Raw genomic sequence first — 12,632 nt, forward strand, 5'->3', positions numbered from 1 at the left:
ACATATAATACTAAATACTCCATTTCATAAAGTGCCCACTATGAATGTGTGCATATAATAGTTTTATGAAACCCTTAAGAATTTATAGCACTTAGCTTTCCTTCATGATACAGTGTATTAATAATTCTGATTCAACAAAAGTTCTACTGCTGACATTTCATTTAACAAAAGAAGCAGATAGGTATTTATAAGGATAGAAATTTTAATATGCACACATTTTGTAAATAAGTTTTAAAGTGTTCAATTTAATTCAATTCAGGTTTGAGTGTGCAGCTACTATGGTAAAGTATTAATTTATCTTGTGAGTGCAGTTGTGAATTTGGCCTCGAACTTTGTCCCCACATATCTGCACTTGTAATCACCAAAACATATTTTCACTTCAGTCTCTCTCATTTCTCAGGTTTAGGCTGTTTTGCTAACTTACAAAAAATGAACTTTTTTCAAAAGGAACTGATTGCCTACTGAGGAGCTTGTATACAATTAAGGTTCAGACACTAACATTAGTTATTTAGAAGGTATGTGAGCCTTGGGTTTCACCCCTTTCAGCCACAAAATTAACATTATTTGATTGATGACAGAATCTAATAAAAAGTATGTACTTTCCTCCTATATATGTGGACAACAAAATAATACATGCAGTTATTTCTCTTAAATATCTGGCAAGGCATATGATTGACTGTTAGAATTTTTTTCATTTGGTTAAAACAAAAATTAGCCAAATGTTAAAGCATGGAAAATGTTGGTGGCAAAGCGGATAATATTCTGATAAAGCTTTAAAATCACCCCAGCACACAAACATGTTGAAATCTTACCATTAGGTTTCATGCAGTCTGTTCCCTGCAGCGAGCATTAGCTTTAACCCTTCAGTGCTGTTGTTGAATTTCATGTATAGGGAGAGGGGCTGAAGTTTTATTCAGAAATCAGCTTTTATTTAGGTGATGATTGTCAGTTTACATGAAAGAATTGCTGACCCACTTGAGTATCTGCTCTTAGCAAACAATGTATAATCTATGTATTTTATAGCAATTCTCAAACTTGCTTGGAAGGAGGTTCCAGTGTTTTACTCATGTATTGTGATTTGCATGGACTGTGTGTTTAAAAGATTGTGTAAATTTACGGTGTGTCTCATAAATCTTTCTCTTCCTGCTGTGAACTGTTCTACCTCAGAATGAACTTTTCGATGGCAACTCTGTTAGATTACATAATCTCAGCATCCTTTAGGGTTTGCTTTCTAAATGAGCTGCCCGTGGGATGAGATGGCTATTTATCTGTTTGACTTTCCGAAGAGTCTTAGAGAAAGCCATCACTGAGAGGGTTAAGGTATGTTACTGCAGCAGTTATCAGCAGACCAGCCATCTACCTTTGGTACTTACAGGAATTTTATGACTCTTGATCATATTATCAAATTCTTCATTAATTTTTTTGTATTTTTCTTCAGTGCGTGGGGTGAGTGCATAAGAGGAGTCGGGATCGGGGCTTTCACAGCCTTTGTTTTCTTTCTTGTTCAATGCCTGCCAGGTTCAGAGAAATATCAAGAGTAAAAAAAATGAAGGGTGTTCTGAGTACTTACACACAATCTTTGCCTGCTGATCATTAGATCAATATCTTCGTTAATTTTCCTGTACTTGTCCTCAGACTCAGGGCTGTGACCTACGGAATCGTCCGCATCGGGGTCTGGGCTGTCACAGCCATTAAGGCCCTTCTTTCTCAACGTCTGAAATACATAATTTGGAAAGTTCAAACCTAGACAAAGGCTGTAAGAGACATTCAGGGGCATTAAAGAAGTTCAAGCTGTCCAGTATTTCAGGTTATTACATATGCTTTATTCTATTAGGGAAGAGAAACCACAGATGAAAGCTGAGTCATTTCAATCGAGTGCTCATCAGCAGTTTAAAAAAATAAAAGCGAAAGATTCCTCTTGCAACTAAATTCAGTCAATGAACAGAGGGTATAAGGACTCAAGTTTCATGATACAGAATTCTTACGTGCTTCAAATATCTAGTGAGAGACAATTACAGCAGAATACAATTAAGGTGGCAAATTGCAACACTCTCTTCCCACAGAAAAATCAGAAATCAGGACATTACACAATGATTTCCGAACCTGTGATGATGACAAAAGCAGAAATGTTGGAAACAGATCCAAGTGTGAATTTAAACTAATGGTTGGCATTAGTGGTGTCCTGTCCCCACAGCCTCCACTTCTGATGTACTTGACAGCTAAAGGGTGTAAGAGAACACAGCTAATATCCCCACCAAGCATCGGTGAAGAATGCTCAGACGCTGTGCTTATATGGAGAACTACTTTTGTTTGTTAGGGTTCTATATATGTGAAAATCTTATCAAAATTTATAATACTGAGAAGGTCTCTTCCTAAACACAGGTGGAAAGAAAAGTGAAAACAGCTGAGCTGAGTAAGGAAGACGAAGAACACTGAAAACAGGTAACCAAGTCAATAACTACCAAACTAGCAAGGGTTCCTCCTAGTTTTTCAGCTGAGTAGGAATCACCCTGAGACTGACACATGAAAGTAAAAAGTCAGTGCCTCATCTTGAACCTCCTGTCTCCTGGATGTGGGTCTGGTCTAGTCTCAGCTGTCACAGAAGAATAAATACTAATGTAACATTGTAACAGAAAAAGTATAAGTTAGGAGTCTTGAGTTTTACTTGGTTTTTTAAATTTGAGACAGGATTTTGCTCTGTCGCCCAGGCTGGAGTATAGTGGAGTGATCTTGGCTCACTACAACCTCTGCCTTCTGGGTTCAAGTGATTCTCCTGCCTCAGCCTCCTGAGTGGCTGGGTACATCACCATGCCCAGCTAATTTCTGTATATTTAGTAGGGAATGGGTTTCTCCATGTTGGCCAGGTTGGTCTCAAATTCCTTGCCTCATGTGATCTGCCTGCCTCAGCCTCCCAAAGTGCTGGGATTACAGGCTGAGCCACCACAACCTGGCCTGCTTTATTATTATTATTTTTTTTTACTAACGGTTGTCAACTTAATTGTATACAATTCGATTTACAGAGATAATGTTATGTTTTTAGAGATCATAAAACTTCTGATTAATCATAGTTTGTCATGTTAATTATTAATAGACTAGCAACATTTCTGAATTTTCCTGGTACCACCAAGATCCGTTATAAAGAGATGCATACCTAAGTGTCTCTCATTAATGGAAAGTTCAGCAGAGCTCATCTTTATTAAAGACAGAATTCACATACAAATAAAGCAAAAGCTGTGACATCAAGCTAAGGAATTCAAAGCTGAGATAACACCCCATCTTTAATTCATGCAATTGGGGAAAATAAATAAAACAACATGAGTTAAAAAGGGGGGTGTCAGTCTTAAAAATCTAAACTCCTTGGCTCTTATCAATGTGTAACAAATGTAACATTATTTAAAATTAGTTTCTGAGGCACTGAATATTTTCACTTAAAATAAAAAATCAAGAAAGCTATGATTTCTAATATATCTGGGATACACAGTGGCTCTGTAAATATTTATTAATGTTATAGTGGTATAATATAACAAATAAACATATGGTTACAGCTTATTATGTGGTAAAATGTTTGAATATTAAAATGAATATTTTGACACAGCATGATAAAATATACATTTACAATCTTGGGGAATTTATAATTGGTGGGGCCACCTGTCCCCTTATCTTGGATCTACAGGCATCATTTTTCACTCATAACAAGTACTTTTAGAGACTTTCTACAGTAATACTATAAAGAACATCACAATACATTAGAATAATAATTTTATTTACTAACTTAACTTCCTGTGCTTCATACTCTTTTCTTATTATCTCAACCACAAAAACATTCTTCTGGCTGATAACTATTGTATTATGATGTGTTTCTGCTTTGATCTCTGCATATCTTTGAGCTTTTAAGAATACTTTCTGATTGTTTTTGCATTATATTCCACATATTTTTCATTAGAATTCATTTGTATAGAGAAAAATATGTCAGATCAAGAAAATATTATTTGATATTTTTCAAAAGTTATCTATAAGACATGTTAAAAATATTCTTTCTTTCTTTTTTTTTTTTTTGAGTCAGAGTCTTGCTCTGTTGCCCAGGCTGGAATGCAGTGTGGCGTGGTCATAGCTTACTGCAGCCTCCACATTGTAGGCCCAGACAATCCTTCCAACTCAGCCTCCTGGGCAGTTGGTACTACAGGTGTGTGCCACCACACCTGGTTAAAAATTATTTTTGTAGAATCAGGGTCTCATTATGTTGTCCAGGCTGCTCTTGAACTCCTAGACTCAAGGGATGCTCCTGCCTCAGCTTCCCAAAATGCTGGGATTACAGGCATGAGCCATGGCACCCTGCCAATAATTTTCTTATATAAACCTTTAATTTAAAGCCTTCCATAATGTTAATTTATAGTCTTATCCAGGCAGTAGATTTTTCAGTGTGCACCCAAATCTTTTAACCAATAAATCTTATTGTAAAAATTATAGTTGTTTTGATATGCAGATTTCTGACAACAGAATGCAAGGGTGAGGAGAGGCCTATCAACTGTCATTACAATCCATCTGGCACATACATGTGTGCTAAATATTCTCACAAAGCTTTCAGGGGGTAGATATTGTGTTTGGTTTATAAAAATTCAAACATCAATTACACTTTGTTGAAAGATCTCCACAAATATTAACCCATTATCTCTCACAAGTCTTCCATGAAGAGATTAGGTAAACCTATGCCAGGTCTCAAACCCATATGGCCAAGCATGATGGTCCAAGGTCAGTCAACGAGTATTTGCCTCCTGCCTGGAGACAGTGTGGGGCCTGACTTTCCCCTGCCCGTTTTCCCACCCGTGTGAAGTGATGAGTGCAGACTAGATCTCTCTCACTCATATGTAACTATAGTTAGGACACTGGACGCTGAAATAAATGAAGTAGAAATTGTCCAGGCGTGGTGGCTCTCGCCTGTAATCCCAGCACTTTGGGAGGCCGAGGCAGGCCGATCACGAGGTCAGGAGTTTGAGCCAAGCCTGGCCAGCATGGTGAAACCTGTCTCTACCAAAAATACAAAAAATAAGCCAGGCATGGTGGCGCACGCCTGTAATTGCAGCTACTTGGGAGGCTGACACAGGAAAATCACTTGAACCCGGGAGCCAGAGATTGCAGTGAGCCGAGATCACACCACTGCACTTCAGCCTGGGCAACAGAGTGAGACTCCATCTCAAAAAAAAAAAAAAAAAAAAAAAGAAGTAGAAATTTTAAAAAATTAGGCTGAGGGAAAATTTCAAGTATGAAAATAGAGCTAAAATATTGATTTTCTTAGATGTCAAATTTTAGTCAAGAGTTGGAATGCATATTGGTCAATAAAACACATCAGTTTATGAATGAAAAAAACCAATTAGGTCAGTGGCTCACTTTGTACCTGAAGAATTATATAAACTATTAAACAAACAAGGCAGGTGGCATGGAGTCACAAAGGAAATGGCAGTGATGAGAAGGAAAAATGTGGCTCATTTTCTCCCAATACATTCTTCTTGTATCTGACTGCATTATCTTGCTATGAATATCACCCGAATCTAAGTAATGATTCAAGTTAAATTGTGTTATTTAAAAAAGAGCATTTTGAGATATACAAACACAAAGCTGAAGAGCAAATTAATATTGAGTTCCAAATTCCCATAATCACATAACCAGAAAGAACATTGAAAAAAATGTTCAAAAATATTATCCTCAGCTGAGTGCTTGTATAACACATTTCTGCCAAGAACAAATGATTATGGTGGAATTATAAAGCTCTGAAAATGGAAGTGATGGCACAAACTTGAATATCATAGTGTGAATGTGGAACTATAAGAGCAGTTTTATCTTTATTATATTAAAAATCTACAGCTGTTTAATGATAACAAAAGAATTTCTGTTAGATTCAGCCAAGTCTGTCTTTATCACAGTAATGAATAGTCGATATGAACGAAAGGGCTGACTAAATGGATAAATAAGCATTATTCCTTCGGGCCCTTTTCTAGCAAAATCAAAATCTCTGCTGTTGGCCTTTGAAAGCTTCTCTGATCTTTTACAAGTGTCACTGGTCAGGTAATGTAGGTACTTCAATTGTCATTCTTTTACAGGGGCTGGAAGTCCTAAATGTATATACTGTCTCTCAGCTGACTGACTACGTTTTGAAAAGATTTATTCATGTATGTCAAGATAAGGCAAGAGATCTCCTAAAACCACCAGCTTCTCTCCTTACGTATCTGAAGAAACTCTTTCCTCAGAGAACTCAAGTAAATCTTGAGCAAGCCTGTATACTGAAGTCAGCTTTCCACGTCAGAGTGACACTGTTGAGGTAGATCCATCAACTACAGAGGCTTCTGGGATATTTTCACAAGACAGCGATTGTCATACTGTGAGCTGAGAACAGCCGTTTCCTAGAGGAGTAATTAGATTGACAGAAGGTGACATATTCCAAGCAATAAATGGGAGAAAGAGTCCAGACAGGTAATCCAAAAACCACGTGGAATCTTTCCTCCCAGACATGTGGACATATGGACCCTGCATTATTCCATTTGCTCATCGGAAAAACTTGAAATACGTACAAACTGATGATGATAGGTGACAGGTGCTTCAAAAATTCTAATGAAATAGAATTTCATTAGGGGAACAGATTCTATTTCGTTACTGAAAGGAATATAAATGAAAAAGAATGCTACATGGAGCTCTCATTTCTTGTTTTAGGCATTACGTTATCAACTAGAAAATCCTTTTCTTATGCAGTGATTAAAACTGATTTTTCCCTTCTTAAATACTATTTTGTTATTTAAAAAATTTTTTCCTTTTATTCTTTCAAAAATTATCTCGTTAGTAAAAAGAAATAAGTAAATTATTGACCTTTTTCGATTATATGAAGCTGTATTTTTATATTAATGCTATTTAAGTAAAATTCAGCTTTTTTTCAGAGAACCACCATCACAGACTAAAAGCTTTCAACCACTCAATTTCTTTACATGTCTGCAGTCTCAGTCCTCAAGAATGTATATTTTCATCATCATCCTTTTCCTGTGCCTGCCCATTCTACATGCAGAGAAACCTGGAGAAACCCCCAAATTACTCCTATTAACCTTTGTTAAAAATCCAAGTAATCACACTTTGTTGCATAGGTAGTGTGATCTTTACTTCAGAGGGTTGATGTGTCAAGAACACATGCAGGAATTATTACTATTAGTTGCATCAATGTCATGTTCACACAAAAACCAAGAAAAAAAAGCATCAACTTAGAAAAGGTAGTTTCCTTTCCTCTGATCCTGAATCATTTTTTTGCTTGTCGTTCACAGCTTTATGAAGATAAGTATCTACTCTTAACAAGCTGAATAATCTTTAGAAAGTAGTAAATTCATGTAGGAATAGGAAGTGCAGTTGAAATGAATACTGCCTATAAATTGAGTTTCTAAGAATATTTCCTGAAAGTGTTTCCATATTGGTGTGCTGGTACTCACGCTGCTGCTGTTTCCTGACCCTTTAGTATCTACAGAGAGGTGCTTTGAGGACTGTGCCCAGTGCCTTACTTCATTTAAAATTTATTCGGCAAACAATTATTGAAAACCTACCATGTGCCAGATACTGTTTTGTACGCTTATGTGTTAGGAAAGCAGCCAAATTTAAAACTAAAAAGCTCTGACCTGACTTATAACATTGTATGGTTTTTGCCTTAGGCTGAGGGAAGATTAGATGCCAAGAAATTTCTCCACAGGTTTTAATAAAACTGTAAGCATTGTCTATACTATCTCTCCCTGTAGTACCATAGTCCCTTTTCTTTGTTCTTATTCTAGAAATGAAGACACATTAATATATTAAATCTAGTATAATCAGCAGGTAGACTTTAATTAGGCAAGCAAATCATATCCAATACAGAGTACAAAAAGTTAGATTTTAACAAAAATTATTCACTTGTGGTAAAAATTTTAATAAAAAGTTGAAAATATAAAACTGTACAATACTGTATTTCTCTAGGTTATTTATTAATGCTCATTCTAGCCAGATATCAACTTCTACTGGGGAAGGGGTGGATGGGGTTGGATATTGTCATTGTTTTTATTTTTATATGCTTCCTCAAAAGATAATCTTAATATTGGAGCTGAAATTTTTTTGACTGAATCATTTTCATCTTCAAATAATGGAAATAAAAGACACACTAATTAAAGATTTGAAAGCCTTTTCATGTATTGAACACAAGGAAACATCCACCAACTCTGTCTTAAGGGCCACAAATTATTTGACATAAACATTCAAATGGTGCTAATTATTGATACTCTAGTCTGGATGAGACCGCCAAGCATCATCCGGCCCTTCCTCATGCCCACAGTGGGTGAGGAATAATGGTGCAAACGCTGCATGCCTTTCCTTCTGCATCCCTTCTCAAGCTGGGCTCTCCTTCAGGAATGAGCCCACCAATATCTGTTCCTCCTTCAAAGAGCAGCTGACACATTGTCTCCTCTCTTTAGACTTTCTGATCGCTCAGGCTGAATCAGTTTCTCCTTCATTCAGGCACTCATTTTATTCTACACATTTTCCCACTATAGTCTTAATCATACATTATTGATCCTTTATGTGCTTTTTCCCCTCTGCTAGATTGAGAGGTCCTTAACAAAGCACTTTGCTTTATTCACTTTGGAGTTTCACCAGAGAGCAGTCTGACCTACTGTAGTTGCTCAATAAATGCTAGATGAATGAATGGAACACACATTTCCACTTCAATGTTAATGTATGTGGAGGTTTCTTGACTTGACCAAGGCTGTCTGGCTGGCTGGAGGCAAAGGCTGTAGTAGGGTCCAGACCCCTTGATACATATTTACTAACTGCTACTATATGTCAGGTGCTGCCAGTGGTCCTCTGGATGCTAAGATGATTTTTCTGGACATTTGATAAAGATGATTTGTTTATGTATGTGTTTTTCTTCCTGCTACTATGAGCTACTAGAGGTTAGGAATAGTTTATTTGTCATCTCGTATCACCAGAACTTAGCACAAGGCCTGGCAAGTGGTCGGAACTTACTAGATATTTGCAGCATTCATGACAAACTGAAATGAATAGATGAACAGAACAGAAAAGAATGTTCAAATGTTAGAGGGAGGAAGATTAGTCTCAGTGCAGTATTTTGCAACTGCAATCTCTTTTTTTTCCATTTATTACTACCATTTCACACTACGTTAAAACTCAATGTTTTTATTCCCTCTTAATAACTCCCAAATTTACTACTTTTTGAAATGTACAGTTTTTAAGTTAGAAAGCAGTGCAATGTAGGTGTGATTTGTACTATGTATGAAACATTATAACTCACAAATTTTACATTATTGAACGCTTAAAATTTAGGGGTACTAGTCTAAATAGACACCCTCAGAAAAACTGAGCAGTCAGTGAAATCTTTTAATGCCAGAAAGTCATAAGCATATAATCTCAGTGATCAAAAGTGTAGCTGAAAGAGGGCACAGAATTTTCAGCATGGAAAGAGAAAAAAGGGAGTGATATTTTAGGCAGAAGGTAAAGGTTAGCAAAGGAAAAACAAAACCTTTGTAGGAAAGAGCACAGGGAAATTTGTGAATGTGAGTCAGATACTATAAATCTGAATTAAGCATGCTTTCAAATTCTTGGGCAAAGTTCATCATTTTCCCCCATTCTTGGATGCTAGTCTACTGCTCCACTATTCTCCTGGGCTTTTACATTGGTCTTATTCTGGGCCAACATTTGCCTGAGGGAATTCATGGAAAATCAGGGTGATTCTGGGGCCAATCAGATGATTCAGGCTTCCTCAGGACAGATCAAGGATTTGGTGTTTGTAAGGATTCTTCCGCCAAACCTCTATTGGAACCCGGACAGGGCATGCATCATGAGTTGGCCTAGAATGGGACTGAGATGGGGAAGTCTGGCACACGTTAGCTGTAAAACACTCCCTGAGATCCTCAATCCAGCAGAGATGTGAAGTGAAATACTAAAGAGAGAACATTTAATATATAATAATTGAAATGCATGATAGGATATGCAGTTAATCCTATATATCTATATCTATAGCTATAGTTGTTGTTGTTGTTAGACAGAGTCTTGCTCTGTCACCCAGGCTGGAGTGCAGCGGCATGATCTCAGCTCACTGCAACCTCTGCCTCCTGGGTTCAAGTGATCTTCCCACTTCAGTCTCCCAAGTAGCTGGAATTACAGGTGTGTGCCATCAAGTCTGGCTAATTTTTGTAGTTTTTGGTAGAGATGGGGTCTCACAATGTTGTCCAGGCTGGTCTTGAACTCTTGACCTCATGTAATCCACCCACCTAAGCCTCCTAAAGTGCTAGGATTATGGGCATGGGCCACTGTGTCCAGCCTATCCTAATAATCTTTATAATGCAAGTTAAGAAAAGAAAGGCTGGAATGCAAAGAATCAAGTTGTAGGTTGTTTTGAAGAATGGGCAATGTTAGTGATTTCTTAAATGAGGAAGGAAAAGACAAGACAGAACTATAAATTAAACAAAGGTTGAGAGAGGAAAGGAGTAAATTAATATAAGATCAGAGAACAGGTTTTTTGAAAGTATAAAATGTATAATAATTGTAACTTCACATACTAAACATTTTAGACTATGGCATTTTACTTGCAAATGGGTTGGTTACAGGGACAAAAAGGCTGTATCTTGAGGCACTGATGCTTTACAAATAACATGTTGGAGCATCTTTCATAAACCATTAATGACTTATTTTAACAAAAGATGTAGATGTTATCCTGGGTCATCAAAATAAGTCAAATCATTATTTTTATTTCCTAGTTGTAAATGCCTTTTTATTCAATTTGAGTCTATGCGTGATTAGTCATTTGAAATGCGAGTAGCTTATATCCTACATCTTTGCATTCACCAGTCACTTCTGAGCTATCTTTTGAGTCACCACATTTCCTCATTTCTACAGGATTTCCCACGATCTCTTCTACTATATCATTTCTTTTCCCATTTATTTTCTGGATTCCAGCCTACCCCTTCATCCATTTCTCTCCCATCTTTCCCTTCCTAGCAAATGTCACAATGTACTTGTTCAAGCTGAAAACTCAGAAATCACCCTTGATTCCGTAATTTCTTGACTCACCTATCGTTATTCTTTCTATTTGGTCTTCTGTGTTTTGTCTGTTTGTTTTTGGACTCCCACCTTCCAGTCAATCTTCCTTCATACTTCTGGCAGGGTCTAATTAAAATGCACATCTAATTGGATGGCTGTTCTCCTTGAAAACCCTCCACCTGCCTCTAGGCTCATTTCCTCTTTTCTCCAGCCTACTGTGTGTATTAGCTTGTTCTCACACTGCTAATAAAGACATACCAAGACTGAGTAATTTATAAAGAAAAATAGGTTTAATGGCTTCACAGTTTCACATGGCTGGGGAGGCCTCAGAATCATGGCAGAAGGCAGAGGAGAAGCAAAGGCATGTCCTACATGGCGGCAGGCAAGAGAGCTTGTGCGGGGGAACCCCCATTTATAAAACCATCACATCTCATAAGACTTATTCACTATCATGAGACCAGCATGGGAATGATCCATCCCCAAGATTTAATTACTTCCCACTGGGTCCCTCCCATGACATGTGGGGACTGTAACAATTCAAGGTGAGATTTGGGTCAGGATACAGCCAAACTATATCGCTGGGTTTTGGCCAAGGGGGAAATTTCATGTCATTTGGCAAGTCAGCTCAATCCTTTAGAAACACTGCTTTGATATACGCCATTCCATCCTTCCTAGAATATCCTTATTTACTCCTCCTCTCAGTTACACAAACCTTAATTGTCCTAGGACACCCTATTACCTAATGCCCTCACTTACTTGGTGAAGCTTTTTCCTAACGCTTGTAGAAGGCACTCAGGAACTCCCTTTTCTGTACCTGTACAGTCCTTGACCTCTTTTTTATATGTGGTATGTTATACTGTAATTTATTTTTTAACATGTCTGCTTCACCACCAGGTAGTGAGTTCTGTGAAAAATGGGCATCTCTGGTCCCTAACACAGGGCTTGGGTAATATGTGTGGACTCAACCAAGATTCTCAGTTATGGTTCACTGGATAAATGAATAAGCAAACAAACTTGACAGTCATACTTTCTAACAGTGACAGACACTAATTCAAATGAGTTGGGTGGTCTTGTAGAGTGACAGTACTATTTATTTGTTTTAATAAGATTATTACCTCAAAATGTAAGGAGTACAAGTTCTGGTAGGTTAAAGCAATATCTGGAATGACTTCAAGATTGCGGCACAGGACATCCCTGTGGGAGCTGAGGGAATGGAGGAGGTGACACAGACTATTGTAACTGGTTCACAAATGGTGGGATTTCTCTGTGTTTAGACCTGCTCAGAGTCTGGGGCATGATGGGCTTCCAAGCCATCTGTGGCTGCTGCTGCTCTGTTACTGCCAGGAAGACACAAACATGTTGAGAACAAAACTTACTGCAATAGACACCTTTGTGCATTCTCTTCTCTATTTCTACGTCTCCCCTCCGAAACAAGGCATTACCCTTGATGTACTTTACAGAATATCTGTCAGTTGGGATCTCCAGTTTATTACCAGCTTATCAGAAAAGCAGAGTATACACAGAACTTTCCATAAGGCATTGCAAAATAAAGTCTTGAGGTTGGCAACTGATTGACTTATGTC

General features: G+C 37.5%; 1 protein-coding gene across 79 annotated transcripts in view; it reads right to left on the reverse strand.

Moving 5' to 3' along the window:
* MEF2C (myocyte enhancer factor 2C) overlaps positions 1–12,632 on the reverse strand; it is a 186,989-nt gene that overhangs the window by 42,498 nt on the left and 131,859 nt on the right. For 56 of the 79 annotated variants that reach the window (XM_011543396.4, XM_047417190.1, XM_047417181.1 and 53 more), the window contains one exon: positions 1,571–1,714. The exons of 7 other annotated variants lie outside the window; for them this stretch is intronic. In XM_011543396.4, coding sequence (XP_011541698.1) covers positions 1,571–1,714 — 144 coding nt within the window. Of the gene's footprint in view, positions 1–1,373; positions 1,512–1,570; positions 1,715–12,632 lie in introns of all 79 variants that reach the window. 16 more of the 79 variants (XM_017009478.3, XM_047417202.1, XM_047417203.1 and 13 more) reach the window with 3 other exon arrangements.

This window comes from Homo sapiens, chromosome 5 (genome assembly GCF_000001405.40).
Source record: "Homo sapiens chromosome 5, GRCh38.p14 Primary Assembly".
In the NCBI taxonomy this organism is placed as follows: Eukaryota; Metazoa; Chordata; class Mammalia; order Primates; family Hominidae; genus Homo; species Homo sapiens.